This window comes from Homo sapiens, chromosome 11, assembly GCF_000001405.40.
Source record: "Homo sapiens chromosome 11, GRCh38.p14 Primary Assembly".
NCBI lineage: Eukaryota > Metazoa > Chordata > Mammalia > Primates > Hominidae > Homo > Homo sapiens.
In genome coordinates, this window is record NC_000011.10 from 66,386,637 (window position 1) to 66,409,113 (window position 22,477).

Here is a 22,477-nt window from a genome sequence, read left to right on the forward strand (position 1 = left end):
TATTCCGTGGGAAATTCAAGCTGATACATTATCATAAAAATTAATCCCAGGCTGTTTCTATATCATGGTCTGAGTTTTTGTCCTCCTATTCCAATAAATGTGTTGAAACATAATCATCAATGTGATACTATGGAGGGGGGTGATTAGATCATGAAGGTAGATTCCTTATAAATGGAATGGCGTCTGTATAAAAGAGGCTTCAGGGAGTTCCCTCACGCCTTCCATCATGTGAGAACACGTGAGAATGTGCAATCTGTGAACCAGGAAACAGGTCTTCACCAGATAAAGAACCTGAGAGTGACTTGATCTTAGACTTCCCAGCCTCCAGAACTTTGGGAAATAAATTTCTGTTGTTTACAAGCCACTCAGTCTATGGTATTTTGTTGCAGCAGCTCTAACAGACTAAAACAGCAGAAGCAACTACAAGAACACTTTGGTGGAACACAGCCCTTCTCAACATGCTCACAGCCATATGAAGAAACAACTTCCCATGAGCAAGAATGAGCAGACAGCCATCAAAAGCATTACCTCCTTTAGGGGCTAACTCATGTTTCTGGGTAGAAGCTTTATAATAAGTCTCAACAGGCTGGGCGCAGTGGCTCAGGCCTGTAATCCCAGCACTTTGGGAGGCCGAGGTGGGAGGATCACTTCAGCTTGGGAGTTCCAGACCAGCCCGGGCAACACGGCAAAACCCTGTCTCTACCAAAAATACAGAAAATTAGCCTGGCCTGGTGGTATGCACCTGTAGTCCCAGCTACTTGAGAGGCTGAGGTGGGAGGATTGCTTTTGAGCCTGGGAGGCAGAGGTTGCAGTGGGCCAAGATCTCACCACTGCACTCCAGCCTAGGTGACAGAGTGAGACTCCATTAAAAAAAAAAAATTCTCAACAACTTAACTTGTTATTTTCTCAACAACTTAACATGTTATTTTAATGTTATAATTAAACTCTTAGGGTTATTTTATAGCATATGAAAACTGCTTTTGAAATTCATCTTGGAGAAGACATGAGAGAGAATAACTAATGACAGATTTAATTTTTTTTTTTTGAGACAGAGTCTCACTCTGTTGCCCAGGCTGGAGTGCAGTGGTGCAATCTTGACTCACTGCAACCTCCGCCTCCTGGGTTCAAGTGATTTTCCTGCCTCAGCCCATTGAGTAGCTGGGATTACAGGCGCCTGCCACCACGTCCGGCTAAATTTTGTATTTTTAGCAGAGACAGGATTTCACCATGTTGGCCAGGCTGGTCTTGAACTCCTGACCTCAAGTGATCTGCCCACCTTGGCCTCCCAAAGTACTTGGATTACAGGCATGAGCCACCGCGCCCGGCCTAATGACAGATTTAAAAACAACCATGGGCTAGGCATGGTGGCTCACACCTGTAATCTCAGCACTTTGAGAGGCTGAGGCAGGTGGATTGCTTGAGCCCAAGAGTTCGCAGCCAGCCTGGGCAACATGGCAAGACCCCATCTCTACAAAAAAATAATAAAAAAATTAGCCAGGCATAGTGGCACATGTCTGTGGTCCCAACTACTTGGGAGGCTGAGGTGGGAGGATCACTTGAGCCCAGGAGGTCAATGTTGCAATGAGCCATGATTATGCCACTGCACCCTGGCCTGCTGGCCTGGGTAACAGAGTAGGATCCTGTCAAAAAAAAAAGAACAAGAAAATCAAAGAACACTACTACAGTATTATATCAGTCAAGGGCTAATCAGGAGACAGAATCCACACAGTCATTGAAGCAAAAGTCCAACATAAGGAATGATTAGGGGATTGAAATCATGGGGGATTGACTAATGAGAGTTGAAGAGAACACTAAAGAACGAAAACATAGGCCGGGCGCAGTGGCTCATACCTGTAATCTCAGCACTTTGGAAGGCCAAGGTGAGCACATTGCTTGAGCCCCAGGAGTTTGAGACCACCCTAGGCAACATAGTGAAACCCTGTCGCTATAAAAACTTTTAAAAATCAGCTGGGTGCGGTGGCTTGTGCCTATAGTCCCAGCTAACCGGGAAGCTGAGGTGGGAGGATCGCCTGAGCCCCCGAAGTCAAGGCTGCAGTGAGCTGTGATCACACCATGCACTCCAGCTTGGGTGGCAAAGTAAGACCCTGTCTCAAAAAAAAAAAAAAAAAAAAAGAAAAGAAAAAAGAAAAAAAGAAAGAAATAGATACAGGGAGAAGCCGCTGCCCTAAGGGCTAACATAGAGCACCCAAGGAAGAGCCCCACTCCAAGACAGGGATCCAGACCATGCTGGAGAGAGCAAGGCCATGGCTGATGAGACATCTGAAGTGCCTCGGGCAACACTGCAAAGCTGCGGGAGGCTATGCCAGGGGAAGCTGCTGGCTGCTGGGTGCTGCTGGTCACTGCATGCTCATGAATTGGGAGCTGGAGAAGGTGACCTCAGCAGGATCTGGTCCCTGCAAAAACTATTATGTGTGGGCCAGAGGCTATGGAAAGCTGTGGCCTGCAGGACCCAGGTGTGGAAAACTTTGCCTACCCAAGAGCTGAGCGCCACAGAAAGTGGGTGCTGCGCTTGTCTCCTCCTGTGTCTCTTCAGCGCCCTCTATTGATGAGGCCGAGGACGGGATTTCTAGCAAGATGGGCTTCTATAAGCAATGAAGATGGAAGTCAACTGAACTGTGTAGTTTACCTGTCAGATCTTAAAGCCAAAGGGGAAAACCTTACTCAGTGGATGTGAGCTCCCACTCAAGGAAGTTGCTCCTTGGTCTTACTACTCTAGGCTTCAAAGATGGTAGGAGGGGCCGGGCGCGGTGGCTCACACCTGTAATCCCAGTGCTTTGGGAGGCCGAGGTGGGTGGATCACCTGAGATCGGGAGTTTGAGAGCAGCTTGGCCAACATGGAGAAACCCTGTGTCTACTAAAAAGACAAAAATTAGCCGGGCGAGGTCGCGCATGTCTTTAGTTCCAGCTACTTGGGAGGCTGAGGCAGGAGGACCACTTGAACCCGGGAATCAATGCAAAATGATTTATTATGTGATGACTTAAAATCTGTTGAAATGAAACTGATCTGTTTCATCTCCAAAGAGCAGACTGCAGAAATTTGAGAGGGACATCAGAGTTATGGTGAGAAACAGGTGGATGAGTGGCAGGACTCAATTACAAGTGGGATCATGCCAAGATAATTTTCCAGCTGAAGCAGAGGAGAAACATTCCATTGACCTACAGATGAAGCCAAGGTTGGTGATTCCCTTGGAGATGCTAGCAGCTCTGTTCTGGACTTTATGTCAAAGAAATCATATTGTATGTTTCTTTTGCTATTTCCATGCTTAGTTCATTGGGGAAAGTACAAAAGAAATTGCACCATGGCGAAAGCCATTTGAAGTTAGATGAGAAACAACAGCTAAACTCTTGGAATATCTTTAGGAAACGCAGACGTGATGAGGAGGTCTTTCAACCTCAGTTTTCTAACACATCCGAAAGCCTTTGCACCACCTGGGAAGCCTCCTCTCAGGGAACAATAAGACATAGTCGTAACTCATAGGAATTTCTTCTGTCTCCAGAGCCTGAATCCTCTGAATTATTTTTTAAACTTAAACTTGCACGTACAAAGTTTTTGTGGTGACAAAAAGAATTTTCTTTCTTTCTTTTCTTTCTTCTCTTTTTCTTTCTCTCCCTCTCTCTCTCTTTTTTTTTTTTTTGAGACAGAGTCTTGCTCCGTCGCCTAAGCTGGAGTACAGTGGCACAATCTCAGCTCACTGCAACCTCTGTCCCCCGGGTTCAGGTGATTCTCCTGCCTCAGTAGCTGGTATTATAGGTGTGCACCATCATGCCCGCCTAATTTTTGTATTTTTAGTAGAGATAGGGGTTTCATCATGTTGGTCAGGCTGGTCTCGAACTTCTGACCTCGTAATCCACCCGCCTCGGCCTCCCAAAGTGCTAGGATTACAGGCGTGAGCCACCGCGCCCGGCCTCTTTCCTTTCTCTCCCTTCCTTCCTTCCTTCCTTCCTTCCTTCCTTCCTTCCTTCCTTCCTTCCCTCCCTCCTTCCTTCCTTCCTTCCCTCCTTCCTCTCTTTCTTTCTTTTCTTTCTTTCTTTCTCTCTCTTCCTTTCTCTCTTTCTCTCTCTTTCTTCTTTTTTTTTTTTGAGACAGAGTCTCACTCTGTCGCCCAGGCTGGAGTGCAATGGCGCAATCTCAGCTCACTGCAACCTCCGCCTCCCAGATTCAAGCGATTTTCCTGTCTCACCCTCCCAAGGAGCTGGGATTACAGGCGCCCACCACCACACTTGGCTAATTTTTATAGTTTTAGTAGAGACGGGGTTTCACCATGTTGGTCTTGAACTCCTGACCTCAGGTGATCCACCCGCCTTGGCCTCCTAAAGTTCTGGGATTACAGGCGTAAGCCACCACGTCCGGCCAACACAAAGACTTTCATGTTATTTCTGGAATAAGAAAAACAGCTACGGAAAAAATATATCAACAGCATACTGTATACAGCATTTTTTTTTAAATGGAGATTAATGAATCGTGAAAATAATATGTAAGGCTGGACACAATGGCTCATGCCTGTAATCCCATCACTTTGGGAGGCCGAGGAGGGAGGATCATTTGAGCCCAGGAGTTTGAAACTAGCCTGGACAACATAGTGAGATCCTGTCTCTGCAAAAACTTTAAAAATTACCTGGGCATGGTGGCATGCACCTGTAGTGCTAGCTACTCAGGAGGATGAGAAAGGAGGATTGCTTGAGCCCAGGAGTCTGGGGTTGCACAGAGCTATGATCCTGCCACTGCATTCTGCCCAGGTGACAGAGTAAGACCCTGTCTCTAAATTTAAAAAAAGAAAAAAATAAAGACAAGAAAATAACACGTAAATGGTGAGCTAAACCAGATTTCTTGAATCAACAGTGCTTGTCAGTGATTTTCGCTTCCCCATTCTATGTGCTTTTGTTCTTTTTTGTACAAAGAGATTGTTCTCTGATGTCATTTATGTAATTAAAAATAAATGAATTAAAAACCAAATCGAGAACATTTTCTATTTTTAAAATCAGAAGAAATAACATTTTTACATTTCTAATTAAAACTGTAAGTACGCCGGGTGCAGTGGCTCACGCCTGTAATCCCAGCACTTTGAGAGGACAAGGTGGGTGGATCACTTGAGGTCAAGAGTTCAAGACCAGCCTGGCCAACATGGTGAAATCCCACCTTTACTAAAAACACAAAAATTAGCCAGGCGTGGTGTTGGGCGCCTGTAATCCCAGCTACTCAGGAGGCTGAGGCAGGAGAATTGCTTGAACCCACGAGGCGGAGGCTGCAGTGAGCCGAGATCACGCCACTATACTCTGGGCGACAGAGGGAGACTCCATTTAAAAACAAACAAACAAAGAAACAAAACAAACAAAAAACCTCTAAGCGCATATTTCTAATACAAACCCTAATCTAGACTACAAGTGAACTGTAATCAAAACAGTGGAGTATGAGACAGCAAATCTACTTGTAAGCACTATATGAATGATACTTTTACTTTCTTGAGACAGAGTCTCACTCTGTCGCCCAGGCTGGAGTGCAGTGGCTCAATCTCGGCTCACTGCAAGCTCCACATCCCGGGTTCACGCCATTCTCCTGCCTCAGCCTCCTGAGTAGCTGGGACTACAGGAGCCTGCCACCACGCCTGGCTAATTTTTTGTATTTTTAGTAGAGACGGGGTTTCACCATGTTAGCCAGGATGGTCTCGATCTCCTGACCTCGTGATCCTCCTGCCTCGGCCTCCCAAAGTGCTGGGATTACAGGCGTGAGCCACCGTGCCGGGCCTACAAATGATACTTCTAAGAGAAAACATAGGAGAAAATATTTTTGATCTAGTTAAGGGACCATTTTCTTAGTTATGACACCAAAAAGCATGATCCATAAAAGAAAACATTATAAATTGGAATTCACCAAAATTAAAAACTTTAACTCTTGGCCGGGCACGGTGGCTCACGCCTGTAATCCCAGCACTTTGGGAGGTCGAGGCGGGCAGATCACGAGGTCAGGAGATCGAGACCATCCTGGCTAACATGGTGAAACCCTGTCTCTACTAAAAATACAAAAAAATTAGCCGCACTTGGTGGCATGAGCCCGTATTCCCAGCTACTCAGGAGGCTGAGGCAGGAGAATCGCTTGAACCCGGGAGGCTGAGGTTACAGCGAGCCGAGATCGCGCCACCGCACTTCAGCTTGGGCGACAGAGCGAGACTCCGTCTCAAACAAAAACAAAAACAAAAACTTTAGCTCTTTAAAAAACACTGTTATGAATATAAAAAGACAAGCCACAGACTGGGAGAAAATATTTGCAAAACATATATCTGACAAAGGACTTGGACCTAGAATATATTAAAATAACTCATATAACTAAGTAATAATAATTCAGACAACCTCATTTTTAAATGGAGATGATTGGCTGGGTGCGGTGGCTCATACCTGTAATCCCAGCATTTTGGGAGGCTGAGGCTGGTGGAACACTTGAGGTCAGGAGCTCGAGACCAGCCTGGCCAGCAGGGTGAAACCCCGTCTCTGCTAAAAATACAAAAAATTAGCAGGGTGTGGTGGTGCGTGCCTGTAGTCCCAGCTATTTGGGAGGCTGAGGCAGGAGAATCACTTGAACCTGGGAGGCGGAGGTTTCAGTGAGCTAAGATCACACCACTGCACTCCAGCCTGTTGACAGAGTGAGACTCTGTCTCAAAAAACAAAATAAAACAACAACAAAAAAACGAGATGATGTGAACGGACACCATACCAAGGAAGGTATATAGATGATAAGTTAGCAAATAAAATATGCTCAATGTCATTGGTCATTAGAGAAATGCAAATTTAAACCACAATGACTTACCTGGCAGGGGAGATGCCATGATCACATAGGTGGTTTTCCCAGGGTGAGGTGCATCCATTGCACTCCAGGTGTGCTAACCCTTGCAATTTCCCTCAACGTGGGAAACTCAACTGCGTTGTTTGTGGCAGTGGGGGACTGCATTTGCGCTTTCTCCTGTGTCAACTTTCTTTTTTTTCTTTTCTTTACTTTTCTATTTTTTTTTTGAGATGGAGACTTGTCCTGTCGCCCAGGGTGGAATGCAGTGATGCGATCTCGGCTCACTGCAACCTCCACCTCCCAGGTTCAAGCGATTCTCCTGCCTCAGTCTCCTGAGTAGCTGGGATTACAGGTGCGCACCACCACACCTGGCTAATTTTTTGTATCTTTAGTAGAGACAGGGTTTCACCACATTGGCCAGGCTGATCTCGAACTCCTGACCTCGTGATCCACCTGCCTCAGCCTCCCAAAGTGCCAGGATTACAGGCGGGAGCCACCATGCCTGGCTTACTGTGTCAAATTTCTTTTTTTAAATAATGCAATGAACTACCACTTACTCGCCTATTAGAATGACTGAAATTAAAAAGACTGACTATACTGAGTGTTGGCTATGAAGGAGAAACTAGAGCTCTTATACTCTGTTGATGAGAATGTAAAGTGGTACATTTTGGAAAAACAATTTGGCAGTTTCTGAAAAAATTAAGCACATACTACCACATGACTCAGCGTTTCACTTCTAGGTATAGTTCCAAAGAAATTAAAGCATAGGTCCAAACAAGGACTTGTACAAAAATATTCATAGTAGTTTTATTTGTGATGGCACAAAACTGGAAACAACCCAATGTCCATAAATAGGTTAAGGGATAAACAAATCACAGGAATACTTTTCACAATTTAAAAGCAATGATGCCGGGCACAGTGGCTCATGCCTGTAATGCTAGCACTTTGGGAGGCCCAGGCGGGCAGATCATTTGAGCCCAGGAGTTGGAGACCAGCCTGGGCAATATGGCAAAACCCCATCTCTACTAAAAATACAAAAATTAGCTGGGCATGGTGGTGGGTGCCGGTAATCTCAGCTACTCAGGAGGCTGAGGCATAAGAATCGCTTCAGCCCAGGAGGCAGAGGTTGCAGTGAGCTGAGATTGTGCCGCTGCACTCCACCCTGGGTGATAGAGTGAAACTGTCTAAAACATAAATAAATAAAAGTAATGAACTATTGATACATACACAGCATGGGTGGATCACGAAATACTAATGCTGAAAGAAGCAGATTCCCCCCTCAAAAAAAATAGTATGCATTGTATAATCCAATTCATATAAAATACTAGAAAATGCAAAATAATCTATAGTGACAAAAGGCAGGTGAGTGGTTGCTTAGAGATAGGGCTGGGCAGGGGGTAGACGAAGGATTACAAACAGTCAAGAGGAGGCTGGGCATGGTGGTTCATGCCTGTGATTCCAGCAGTTTGGGAGGTAGAGGCAGGAGGCTTGCTTGAGGCCAGGAGTTTGAAACCACCCTAAGCAACATAGTGAGACCCCTCTCTACGAAAAGTAAAACAATTAGCTGGGTGTGGTGGTGCACGCCTGTGGTCTCAGCTATTTGGGAGGCTGTGGTTGGAGGATCACTTGAGCTTGAGAGTCTGAGGCTCAGTGAGCTTTAATCGCACCACTCCACTCCAGCCCGATAAAGGGAGCAAGACCCTGTCTCAAAAAAAAAAAAAAAAAAGTCAAGAGGAAACTTTTGAAGGTAATGGATATGTTCATTATCTTCATTGTGGTTACAGTTTCATGGGTATACACATACGTCAAAACTTATCAAATTGTACTATTTATTTATTTATTTATTTATTTATTTATTTATTTATTGAGACAGAGTCTGACTCTGTTGCCCAGGCTGGAGTACAGTGGCACGATCTCGGCTCACTGCAACCTCCGCCTCCCAGGTTCAAGTGATTCTCCTGCCTCAGCCTCCTGAGTAGATGGGTTCACAGGTGCACACCACCACGCTCGGCTAATTTTTGTATTTTTTTTTTTTTTTTAGTAGAGATGGGGGTTTCGCCATGTTGGCCAGGCTGGTCTTGAACTCCTGACCTCAGGTGATCTGCCCGCCTCGGCCTCCCAAAGTGCTAGGATTACAGGCGTGAGCCACCGCGCCTGGCCAAATTGTATACTTTAAATATGTGTAGCTTATTATTCACATGAATTAATACTATCAATAGGTAGGGACTGGGCATGAAGAAAACTGGTATCCCCTGGTAAGGTCATTATATACTTCAATTGGCATATAATTTGAAGGTGCATGATACTTGGAGTTATCTGATTCCTTTTAAAGTTGTCATTTGAATTCTTGAGGTTTCCAGACTTTCCCATCAATGCCCTAGATTTCACAGAAAAGACTTGGAAATAGTATGAATTTAACTTATTTGTTAATTATACCTTTGATTTGCAGCTGCAGCAGCCCTGTGGTTAGAGGGGTAAGAAATTCTCATACGGCAGGCATGCGAAGTACTTGGTGCTCTGTGTCTTGAGCCAAGCATTTAATGACCTGAGCTTTTCTTTCTTTTTTTTTGAGATGGAGTCTCACTCTGTTGCCAGGCTGGAGTGCAGTGGCGTGATCTTGGCTCACTGCAACCTCTGCCTCCCGGTTTCAAGCGATTCTCTTGCCTCAGCCTCCCGAGTAGCTGGGACTACAGGTGCGCCACCACACTCAGCTAATTTTTGTATTTTTAGTAGAGACGGGGTTTCGCCATGTTGGCCAGGCTGGTCTTGATCTCTTGATCTCTTGATCTTGTGATCTGCCCCCCTAGGCCTTCCAAAGTGCTGAGATTACAGGTGTGAGCCACCGTGCCTGGCCAGAGCTTTTCATTTTCTTTAAACTCTCCAGGGTAGTTAAAAGCATCAGCTGCTCCTCAAAATATATTTATTAATTGCAAAGAGAAACGTAGTTATTTTGCAGTGGAGGAACTCAGAGCAAACACTGCCTTAACCAAGCACTCAAGGTTAAAATCACCAGTTTAAAGACCAGGCATGGTGGTGGATGCCTGTGGTCCCTGCTATTTAGGAGGCTGAGGTGGGAGGATTGCCTGAGCCTGGGAGGTCGAGGCTGCAATGAGCCTAGATTGTGCCACTGTACTCCAGCCTGGGCAACAGAGTAAGACCCTATCTCAAAAAAAAAAAAAAAGTTTGTTAAGTCACTAAGTTTGTGGTAATTTGTTACAGCCAACCTTATGGTTTACAGTGTGGCCCAGACTGAGAAAAGATTCTCCAGCCAAACCAGGCTGCAGTCTAAGCAATCCTCTTCTTGTCTCTTATTACTCTGTGGAGCCAATGACACCAGATGGAGAAACTGTATGGAGCTCAGGGAAAGGCTGTATGGGAGAATTGGAGCACGTGCCCTGTGTTTTGTTGGTTTTATTTGGTTTTGGTGGGGTTTTATTGTTTTCTTTTTTTTTCTTTCTTCTTCTTTTTTTTTTGAGAGAGTCTCACTCTGTTGCCCAGGCTGGAGTGCAGTGGCATGATCTCAGCTCACTGCAACCTCCGCCTCCTGGGTTCAAGAGATTCTCCTGCCTCAAGCTCCCGAGTAGCTGAGATTACAGGTGCCTGCCACCACACCCAGCTAATTTTTGTATTTTAGTAGAGACAAGGTTTCACCATGTTGGTCAGACTGGTTTCGAACTCCTGACCTCAAATGATCTTCATGCCTCGGCCTCCCAAAGTGCTGGAATTACAGGTGTGAGCAACTGTGCCTGGCCTGTTTTTTTGTTTTTTGTTTTGTTTTTGTTTTTGAGACAAGATTTCACTCTGTCACCCAGGCTGGAGTGCAGTGGCACATCATAGTTCACTGTAGCCTCAACCTCCTGGGCTCCAGCAATCCTCCAGCCCAAACCTCCTGAGTGGCTGGGACTCCATGTACACGCTGCCACACCTGGTTAATTTTTAAATTTTTTGTGGAGATGAGTTCTCACTATGTTGCTCAGGCTGGTCTTGAACGCCTGGGCTCAAGCGATCCTCCCACCTTGTCCTTCCAAAGTGCTAGGATTCTAGGTGTGAATCACTGTGACTGGACTCCCTGTCTTTTTTTTTTTTTTTTTTTTTTTAGTTAAACTTTTTTTTTTTTGAGACAGAGTCTCACTCTGTTGCCCAGACTGGAGTTCAGTGGCACAATCTCAGCTTGCTGCAACCTCCGCCTCCTGGGTTCAAGCAATTCTCCTGCCTCAGCCTCCCAAGTAGCTGGGATTACAGGCGCCCACCACCACACCCGGCTAATTTTTGTATTTTAGTTCAGACGGGGTTTCGCCATGTTGATCAGGCTGGTTTTGAACTCCTGACCTCAAGTGATCCACCTGCCTCGGCCTCACAAACTGCTGGGATTACAGGCGTGAGCCACCACGCCTGGCCGTTAAACTTTTTATTTTGGGATAATTGTGGATGTACATGCAGTTCAAAGAAATAATACAGAGCGATCCTTTACCCAGTTTTCCCCATTGATAATATCTTGCAAAACTATAGTACAATATTGGCCGGGCACGGTGGCTCACACCTGTAATCCCAGAGCTTCGAGAGGCCGAGGCCGGGCGCTGTGGCTCATGCCTGTAATCCAGAGTTTGAGAGGCCGAGGCCGGGCGCAGTGGCTCACGCCTGTAATCCCAGCACTTTGAGAGGCCGAAGCCGGCCGCGGTGGCTCACGCCTGTAATCCCAGAGCTTTAAGAGGCCGAGGCGGGTGGATCATGAGGTCGGGAGATCGAGACCAGCCTGGCCAACATGGTGAAACCCCGTCTCCATTAAAAATACAAAATTTAGCCGGGCATGGTGGCGCGCGCCTGTAGTCCCAGTAGCTACTCTGGAGGCTGAGGCAGGAGAATTGCTTGAACCCAGGAGGCGGAGGCTGCAGTGAGACAAGATCGTGCCACTGCACTCCGAGCCTGGGCGACAGAGCGAGACGCTGTCTCAAAAACAAAACAAAACAAAAAACTATAGTAAAATATCACTACCAGGATATTGACATTGACACAGTCAAGATACAGAACACTGCTATCACTTCAAGATCCCCCATGCTGCCCATTATGGTCATACTCACTTTCTTTCCCCATTCCCCTCTCCTTCCCCACATCCTCAACCCCTGGCAATCACTAATCAGTTTTCCATTTCTATAACTTTGTCATTTCAAGAATATTATATAAAAGGAATCATAGGCTAGGTGTGGTGGCTCATGCCTGTAATCCCAGCACTTTGGGAGGCCGAGGTGGGTGGATTACCTCAGGTCAGGAGTTCAAGACCAGCCTGGCCAACATGGAGAAACCCCATCTGTACTAAAAATACAAAAATTAGCCTGGCATGGTGGCGTGTACCTGTAGTCCCAGCTATTAAGGAGGTCAAGGCAGGAGAATCACTTGAATCTGGGAGGTGAAGGTTGCAGTGAGCCAAGAGCCAAGATCGAGCCACTACACTCCAGCCTCAGCAACAGAGCAAGACTCTGTCTCAAGAAAAAAAGAAAAAAAAAAAGGAATCATACAGTATTCAACATTTTGGGATCGGCCTTTTTCACTTAGCAGCATCCACTGCAGGTTCATTTAGGTTGTTCTGTGTGTCAGAAATTCATTCCGTTTTTTTCTTTTTTTTGAGACGGAGTCTCGCTCTGTCGCCCAGGCTGGAGTGCAGTGGTGCCATCTCGGCTCACTGCAATCTCTGTTTTCCAGGTTCAAGTATTCTCCTGCCTCAGCCTCCTGAGTAGCTGGGATTACAGGCACGCACCACCACGCCCAGCTAAGTTTTGTATTTTTATTTATTTATTTTTATTTTATTTTATTTTTTGAGTAGGAGTTTCACTCTTGTTGCCCAGGCTGGAGCGCAGTGGCACGATCTCGGCTCACCACAACATCCACCTCCCAGGTTCAAGCGATTCTCCTGCCTCAGCCTTCTGAGTAGCTGGGATTACAGGCGTGCACTACCATGCCCTGCTAATTTTGTATTTTTAGTAGAGACAGGGTTTCTCCATGTTGGTCAGGCTGGTCTTGAACTCCTGACCTCAGGTGATCCACCTGCTTCGGCCTCCCAAAGTGTTGGGATTACATGCGTGAGCCGCCGCGCCCGGCCTAAGTTTTGTATTTTTAGTAGAAACGAGGTTTCACCATGTTAGCCAGGCAGGTCTCGAACTCCTGACCTCAGGCGACACACCTGCTTCAGCCTCCCAAAGTGCTGGGATTACAGGCGTGAGCCACCATGCCCGGCCAAGTTCATTCACTTTTATTGCTAGCACTCTTCCATGGTATTGATTGTTTAACAGGCTATATAACCATTTGCCTGTTGGACAACATTTGGGTTGTTTCCAGTTTTGAGCTATTCCAAATAAATCTGCTGCAAACATTCCTGTACAGGTTTTCATGTGGATATGAGTTTTCATAATGCCCAGGAGTGCAGTTGCTGGGTTGTCTGGTAGATGCATGTTTAACTTTTCAAGAATTGGCAGGCCAGACACAGTGGCTCACGCCTGTAATCCCAGCACCTTGGGAGGCTGAGGCAGGTGGACCACGAGGTCAGGAGTTCGAGACTAGCCTGGCCAATATGGTGAAACCCCGTCTCAATTAAAAATACAAAAATTAGCCGGATGTGGTGATGGGCACCTGTAATCCCAGCTACTCAGGAGGCTGAGGCAGAAGAGTCACTTGTACTCGGGAGGTGGAGGTTGCAGTGAGCCGAGATCGTGCCACTGCACTCCAGCCTGGGGGACAGAGCGAAACTCCATCTCAAAAATAAATAAATAAGTAATAAAAAGAATTGGCCAAACTCTTTTCCAGAATGGCTGCACCATTTTACATTCCCACCGGCAATGTGTGTGACCCAGTTTCTCTGTAAACTTGCTAGCATTTGGTGTTGTCTGTGATCCATTTAGAGTTAATTCCTCCGTTAGATTGTGAAACCTAGCTTGTGATTTTATTTCTTTGCCTATGTATGTACAATTGCTGCAATGCTACTTGCTGAAAAGGCTGGCTTTCCTCCACTGAGGAGGCTTTGTCTAAAATCATTGGGCGTATTTGTGCAGGTGTATTTCTGGGTTCTCTTTTCATTTGATTGATCTAGGTGTCCATCCCTCTGCTGACACCACACACAGTCTTGATGACTCTAGCTATATAATAAGTCTTTAATTCTTAGAGTAATTCCACTAACTTATTCTTTTTTTCAAAATTATTTTAGCTATTCTAGTTATTTTGCCTTTTCATATACATTTTAGAATAATCTTGTCTATACCTATAAAAAATCCTGCAGGGTTTTGATAGGAGTTGAATTAAATCTATATATCAACTTGGAGAGAATTGACATCTTTATTATGCTATCTTCCAATCCGTGAACACACTATGGCTTTCCATTTATTTAGATTTTCTTTGACTTCTTTCATGAGCATTTTGTAATTTTCAGCCTACAATTCCTTTACATATTTTCTTAGATTTACACCTAAGTATTTCCTTTCTATTTTAAGCAATTGTAAATGACATTATATGGCCAGGAACGGTGGCTAAAGCCTGTAATCCCAGCACTTTGGAAGGCCGAGGTAGGCAGATGACTTGAGGCCAGGATTTCAAGACCAGCCTGGCCAACATAGCGAAACCCCATTTCCACTAAAAATGCAAAAAAAAAACCTTAGCTGGGTGTGGTGGTGCATCCATCTCTGTAATCCCAGCTACTTGGGAGGCTGAAGCACGAGAATCACTTGAATCCGAGAAGCAGAGTTTACAGTGAGCCAAAATTTCACCACTGCACTCCAGGCTAGGCGGCAGAACGAGACTCTATCTCAAAAACCAAATAAATAAATAAAGCAAATAACATCATATTTTTAATGTCTGTGTCCATGTGATTATTGCTAGTACATAGAAATACAATTGATTTTTGTATGTTGAGCTTACATCCTACAATCTTTTTTTTTTTTTGAGATGGAGTGTTGCTCTGTCGCCCAGGCTGGAGTGCAGTGGCGCAATCTTGGCTCACTGCAAGCTCCACCTCCCGGGTTCACGCCATTCTCCTGCCTCAGCCTCCTGAGTAGCTGGGACTACAGGCCCCAGTCACCACACCCGGCTAATTTTTTTTGTATTTTTAGTAGAGACAGGGTTTCACTGTGTTAGCCAGGATGGTCTCGACCTCCTGTCCTCGTGATCTGCCCGCCTCGGCCTCCCAAAGTGCTGGGATTACAGGTGTGAGCGACTGCGCCCAGCTTTTTTTTTTTTTTTTTTTTTTTTTTTTTTTTTTTTTTTAATAAGCACAGGGTTTCACTATGTTGCCCAGGCTAGTCTTGAACTCCTAAGCTCAAGCCATCCACCCACCTCAGCCTCCGAAAGTGCTAGGATTACAGGCGTGAGCCACCACACCCAGCCATATATCCTGCAGTTTTGTTACTTATTACTTCTAGAGTTGAGTGTTTTGTTTTTGTTTTTGTTGTTGTTGTTGTTTTGTTGTTGTTGTGTTGTTTTGTTTTGTTTTTGAGACAAAGTCACGCTCTGTTGCCCAGGCTGGAGTTCAGTGGCTCATTCTCGGCTCACTGCAAGCTCCGCCTCCGGGTTCACGCCATTCTCCTGCCTCCGCCTCCCAAGTAGCTGGGACTACAGGAGCCCGCCATCACGCCCGGCTAATTTTTGGTATTTTTAGTAGAGACAGGGTTTCACCTTGTTAGCCAGGATGGTCTCGATCTCCTGACCTCATGATCTGCCCGCCTTGGCATCCCAAAGTGCTGGGATTACAGGCGTGAGCCACCGCGCCTGGCCGATTCCATGGGATTTTTGTATGTTAATAACCACATCATTTGCAAACAGGCACAGTTTCATTCCTTCTTTCAATCTGTATGCCTTTTATTTCCTTTTCTTGACTTATCTCAGTGGCTAGAACTTCTGGTACTAAATTGAATTAAGATGCTGGAGTACGCCTGTAATCCCAGCTATTTAGGAGGCTGAGGTGGGAGAATTGCCTAAGCCCAGGAGATCAAGGCTGCAGTGAGCTGTGATTGCACCACTGCACTCCAGCCTGGGGGACAGAACAAGACTCTGTCTCAAAAAAAAAAAAAATTTTTGAATAAAAGCGGGGAGATCTGACAGCCTTGCCTTGTTCCCAATCTTAGAAGCCGTTCAGTTTTTGCCATTAAGTATAGTGTTAGCTGTCGAGTTTTTGTAGATGCTTTTTATCAAGTTGAGAGAGTTTCCCCTATTCCTATTTTTATTTATTTATTTAAAGATGGAATCTTGCTCTGTCGCCCAGGCTGGAGTGCAGTGGCGCGATCTCAGCTCACTGCAACCTCCACCCCTGGGTTCAAGCGATTCTCCTGCCTCACCCTCCCAAGCAGCTGGGATTATTACAGGCATGCACCACCATGCCTGGCTAAGTTTTGTATTTTTAGTAGAGACGGGATTTCACTATGTTGGCCAGGCTGGTTTCAAACTCCTGATCTCAAGTGAGCCACCCGCCTCAGCCTCCCAAAGTAAGGGGATTACAGGCGTGAGCCACCGCACCCGGCCATGCCTGGCTAATTTTTTTGCATTTTTTGTAGAGACGAGGTTTCACCGTGTTGCCCAGGCTGGTCTCAAACTCCCAGGCTCAAGTGATCCTCCCACCTTGGCTTCCAAAAGTGCTGGGATTTCAGGCATGAGCCACCGCACCTGGACTGAAATGCAATTTCCGTATCAATTGATATGATCATGTGATTTTTTTTCTTTAGCCTGTGTTATGGGCTTATGTGTCCCTCTTCTCCTCTGCCCCAAAATTCATGTATTGAAGTCCTAACCCCCTGTACCTCAGAATATAACCATATTTGGAGATACAATCTTTAAAGAAGTAAAATTAAAATGAGATTATTAGAGTGGTCCCTAATCCATTATGACCAATGTCCTTATAAGGAGAAGAAATTTGACCACAGACACACACAGAGGGAAGATGATGTGAAGATAGAGAGAAGAAGGCCCTCAGAAGGAACCAATCCTGCTGACACCTTGATCTTGGACTTCCAGCCTCTAGAACTGTGAGATATAAATTTCTCACAGTGCTTTCCCCAAGTCTATGGTACTTTGTGGCACCATGCCCCCTTCAGAACACAAGCTGAGATACTCATAAAGAACTGAGTTTTGCCTGATCCACCAAGCCATGGCTGGGCTTGCAAAGTTATTCCCCATCCTTAATGAAAGTTGTGCACATGACCTCAAGCTCAAGCATAGCCTGGAAGCCGAAGTGGGTCTAACAAGCAGGGGGCTCCCACTTCCAGTGTCCCCAGACTCTCCCTGCCTGGCCACGTCTCCCTCAACTTACACCCATGGCCTGATGGGGAGTTCTGAGCCCAGCACACAGAGGGTTCTGTGTGACAAGGCACCAGCTGGTAGTGGACTGCTATGGCATCACAGCGCACGCATGGGTGTCACTGAAAGACAATGCAAAGAGATATCTCCAAGCAGATAGAGTTTTGAGGGGTACATCTGTCCACTTTGTTTTGATGGAGAGTAGTTCTGAACTGTGGTTCTACACAAGGGCTGTGAATAACAGTTTAGCTGTTGTGAGAAATATTATTACCTTAGGAGTTAAAAGCTTGGATTTGAGCTGACTGCCTGGGTTGAAGTCCCGGCTTTGCTACTTACTGTCCATGCAACTTTAAGCAAGTGATTAAACTTTCTGTACCCCTATTACCTCTTCTTACCATTTTAAAGAAGGTAATAATACCATCTACCTCATAGAGTTGCTGTGGTGAGGACTGAATTAATATAGGTAAAGTACTTAGCACCTGGAACACAGTAAACACTGTGTAAGTTTATCGGCAATGGATGATGATGGTGATGATGATGCCCAATAGTCAGGGATTTGGAAGGAACAGAGCTAGGATTCATAACAAAAAATTCTGGCAGATTCACAAATGGTTCAAATCCTATAGGGTTGAAAATTTCCCCCACCAGGGAAAGAATGCTGATCAGCATGGTACAGGCTGAAGGCAAAGAGAAGGTGGAGGGGGTTATGAAGAAAGGTAGTTGTAAATATCAACTACAGCCTTAGGCCTGTTGCAGAAATAAAGATTCCAACAGGCATCAAATGCTTTGTCCTTGTCCTATTATGTGACCCTTTTCACTTTTCTTCCCCTCTCCCTTTCCTCTTCTGTTTTATATATGGTGATCCTTCTCAGCCAGGGGTGATTTTGACCTATGGGGGACTGATATGGTTTGGCTCTGTGTCCCTACCCAAATCTCATCTAGAATTGTAATCCCCATGTTTACAGGGAGGGAGGCGATTGGATCACGGGGATGGCTTCCCCCATGCTCTTCTCATGATAGGGAATTCTCACGAGATCTGATGGTTTTAAAACCTGCGCTCTTCTGCGCTCTCACTTCTCCCTCCTGCCGCCTTGTGAAGAAGGTGCCTGCTTCACCTTCCACCATGATTGTAAGTTTCCTGAGGCCTCCTCAGACATGCAGAACTGTGAGTCAATTAAACCTCTTTCCTTTTATAAAGTACCCAGTCTCAGGAAGTTCCTTATAGCAGTGTGAAAACGGACTAATACAGGGACCCTTGCCAATGTCTAGAGACATTTTCAATTGCCATGACTTGGGAAAGGGGAGCGCTACTGGCATCTATCAGGTAGAGTAAGGGAGGCTGCTAAATATCCTACAATGCACAGAAAAGTCCCCCACAACAGATATTATTTGGCCCAAAATGTCAGTGTTCTCAAGGTGGAGAACTGATAGAGAGTACAGATGGTGGTTCATATTTTAAGTCCACAAGTTACAGGATATCAAGATGGAATTGGGATTGAACCAAAGAAGGTTGAATAATACCCAGAAATGGGTGTGATGACTGAGCTACTATGTTCTCTTTTAAGGAGTGTGATATGGCTTGGATCTGTGTCCCCACCGAATCTCATGTCGGAGGTGGGGCCTGGTGGAGGTGACTGGACCAGGTGGGTGAAGTTCTCATGCATGGGTTAGCGCCGTCCCCTCCATGTTGTTCTCTTGTGATAGTAAGTGAGTGAGATCTGGTTGTTTAAAAGTGTGTAGCGCCTCTCCCTGCTCTCTCTTCCTCCTGCTCCAGTCCTGTGAAGAAGCCTGATCCCACTTTGCCTTCCACCATGATTGTAAGTTCCCTGAGGCCTCCCCAGAAGCAGATGCTGCCATACTTCCTGTACAGCCTTCGGAAGCATGAGCCGATTAAACCTATTTTCTTATCATTTACCCAGTCTCAGTTATTCCTTTATAGCAGTACAAGAACAGACTAATACAGAGTGACTTAGTACTTTTATCTTTGTATGAGAAAGAGAGAGTTTTTGTGTTGGGGCCGGATGGTGGTTGATGTCATTGTTTGGATGTTTGAGGATGAGGGCACAAATGAATGTTGAGTGTCTGAAAGGGTGGGATTCGGCAGGCGTGGTAAATTGGTTAACTCACGATCTCTCCCAATCTCTTTCCAGTGTGCTTTCCTGTTCTTCAGATTCTACAAAGAGAAACACTCTGTTTCCCAGACTTGCTTACAGCAAGGGACTTAGATCCCGCCAGCCAGAGGCACTCCCGTGAGATGGGCAGCTGTGCAGGAGGCATCTGTCCTGCCGTGCAATGCTCAGGCACAACCAGTTTTGGAGCCAACAGTCCTGACATTGACTTTCTATCCCTCAGACGCCAGCCAAGGCAGTGCATTCCTGGAATCAACGCTCTCAATAGCAGCTTCCCAATCCTTGGCCAAAGTGATGTCACTCAGAGCCAGCGGTTAGGACAGAGGATTCTCCAGCCTCAGATTGCGGCAGAGTTCACAGTACCCTGGGGTGGGCTGATTCTGCAGGGTTGTTTTTTATGTCATTTCTGAAGGTCCAATTAATAGCCCATTTCTCCAGCTCTTCCAATTATTTTATAAACACTAAAACCCTATACAGAATCCCTTAATGCTTAAAATGGTAAGAGTGGTTTCTGCAATAGAACCCTGATCGATACAGCAATAAATAGTATCCACAATGACTTATCAATAAGGAAAAGGAAAAAGAGAGAGAAAATTAAGTAAAAGACATGAATATTCCAGAGGGAAAAAATAAGAATGTTCTATAAACTTGAAAAGATGTTCAACCCCATCAGTATTAAGGGCAACCACAACGAGATACATTTTCACATCCACCAGATCAACAGTTTTGATGATGCCCCTAAGTAGTCCTGAAGCAGTGCCTCCCAACCTCTCTCACCTAATGGTGCACAGAGAAAGCCATAGAATGTTATCAGCACAGGCTGGGCACTGTGGCTCACACCTGTAATCCTGGCACTTTGGGAGGCCGAGGTGGGGGGATCACTTGAGGTCAGGAGTTTGAGACCAGCCTGGCCAACATGGTGAAACCCCATCTCTACTAAAAATACAAAAATTGGCCAGGTGTGGTGGTAGGCACCTGTAATCCAGCTATTTGGGAAGCTGAGACAGGAGAATCGCTTGAATTCAGGAGGTGGGGGTTGTAGTGATCTGAGATCGCACCACTGCACTCCAGCCTGGGTGACAGAGTGAGACATCATCTGAAAAAAAAAAAAGAAAAAAGAAAATACAAGCCAGTAAGAACAAGCTATCAACAGCCTCCAAAGACTTACATAAGATCAGTATTTCTGCAAGAAAATCAAGAAAGCAATAGACCCAAGAAGATTCATTGAAAAACAACGCCAACCCGTTAAGAACAGCAAGCAAAGAGGAGGCATTTTTCTCACTAAATAGTAGATACGTACAAGGGTTCCACCACAGCAGGAAGATTACATCGTAAGACAACAACATTCAAACACGAAACACAGTATATATAAAATTAGAGATATTGCTGGGTGCAGTGGCTCATGCCTATAATCACAGCACTTTGGGAGGCCCAGGCAGGCGGATAACCTGAGATCGGGAGTTTGAGACCAGCCTGGCCAACATGGTGAAACCCCGTTCCTACTAAAAAATACAAAAATTAGCTGCACCTGCAATCCCAGCTACTTGGGAGGCTGACCCAGGAGAGCTGCTTTAATCCAGGAGGTGGAGGTTGCAGTGAGTGAGCCGAGATTGTATCACTGCACTCCAGCCTGGGCAACAAGAGCAAAACTCCATCTCAAAATAAAATAAAATAAAATTAGAGATATTGATAATTGGGGAGGAGGGGGAGAGACTGGAGCATCTAGCTCCTATGAACACCCAAAACGCTGGAAGATAGGGAGACCCCCTGACCCTCTCCTGACTGTGGGCTGCTTGGTTTGTTAACGGTGGAGTAGCTTAGGATGGGCTCCTTCGTTCATCCTAAGGAGCAGGGGCTCACAGAGATGTGTTGGACTCACTTTCACCCTGCTACCTCATCCTAAAAAGCTCTGGGTCAGAGGCCCAGAGACCTGAGTTCCACCCTTGGCTGTCTGAAACCTCCGGAAAACCATTTCACTTCTCCCAGTCTCAGTCTCCTTATCTGTACATGGGAATGATTTTAATGCTCACTGTCCTGCTTATCTCAAGAGACTGTGAGGCTGGTCAAAAGAGACAAGGGGTGTGGAAGTGAAAGGGCCCAAGAGCACTTTTCACAGTCTTGAGTGCAGGAGGCCGTTCTGCCCCGTGCTGCTATGGGATCTTAGGCAAAGCCACAACTTCTTTCGGCTTCAGTTTTTCTCACTTTAAAATGATAATAGGCCAGGAGCGGTGGTTCACGTCTGTAATCCCAGCACTTTGGGAGGCTGAGGCAGGCAGATTGCTTGAGTCTAGGAGTTCGAGACCAGCCTGGGCAACATGGCAACACCCCATCTCTACTAAAAATACAAAAATTAACTGGGTGTGGTGGTGCGCGCCTGTAATCCCAGCTACTCAGGAGGCTAAAGCGAGAGGATTGCTTGAACCCAGGAGACAGAGGCTGGAGTGAGCTGAGATCGCACCACTGCACTCCAGTCTTGATGACAGAGTGAGACCCTGTCTCAAAAAATAAGTAAAATAAAATGATAATAATATTCTGCATTACAGAGTTGCTGTGAGAATGGAGTAATACGAGGAAAGCACGTAGCAAGTGCCTAACACATGGAGCGCGCTCGCTGAACGTTAATCACAAGTGTGATTGATCACAAGTTAATCCTAAGTGGTAAGAATGAGTCCCGCGTTAATCAGGGTTCTGGTGTGAAAATTGCTGAGTTCTTTTATGCTCTTCCCCTCTTGCAGACGCCAGAGGGCGACATAGACGGCGGGACTCCAGCCGCCAAGCACGCCCGCCGCAGCCCCACAATCGGCCACGCGGTGGCGCTAAGCCACACAATGCTTGGTTTGCCGCAGGCTTTGGGGAGCAGAGGGCTGACCGGGGGAGAGCGGAGACCGGGTAAGGGGGGCCTTGGGAGCCAGGGAGCCCTGAACCAGAGGGTCAAGGACCCCTGGACGGAGTATTCCCCGGGCTCCCGGGACACAACAAGATCAGCTGGGAATGAATGGGTCCTGGGCTTTTGGGAATCTGAGTGGGGCATCCCTTCCTCCGGGCGCCGGGCTGCACCCCCTTACCCTGGGCAGCCGCGGGGCCGTGACGCCTGGCGGAGGGGGCGCGCATCTCGGCGCGCGCCGGTCTTCGCAGTGGCTCATTCATCGCCGCCGAGGCACGCCGTTGCCATGGGGACGTGATGCAGGCGCGGGGAGCGGGAGGGAGAGGGAGGCCCCGGGTGACGTCCGCGCTCTTCTCGCAGCTAGTCTCCCGCGGCCTCCCAATTCTTGCCTAATTTGGAAGA

General features: G+C 46.3%; 2 pseudogenes, besides 1 other annotated feature; both read left to right on the plus strand.

The window, feature by feature from the left end:
* Nucleotides 2,973-3,532, plus strand: BRD9P1 (bromodomain containing 9 pseudogene 1; annotated as a pseudogene).
* On the plus strand, nt 6,813-6,976 carry RNU1-84P (RNA, U1 small nuclear 84, pseudogene; annotated as a pseudogene).
* Nucleotides 22,265-22,324: a silencer, noted in NCBI's record as "silent region_3591". NCBI's record gives its function as "represses an Ori minimal core promoter by ATAC-STARR-seq in GM12878 lymphoblastoid cells {active_cell/tissue: GM12878}" and the evidence as "EXISTENCE:reporter gene assay evidence [ECO:0000049][PMID:35858748]".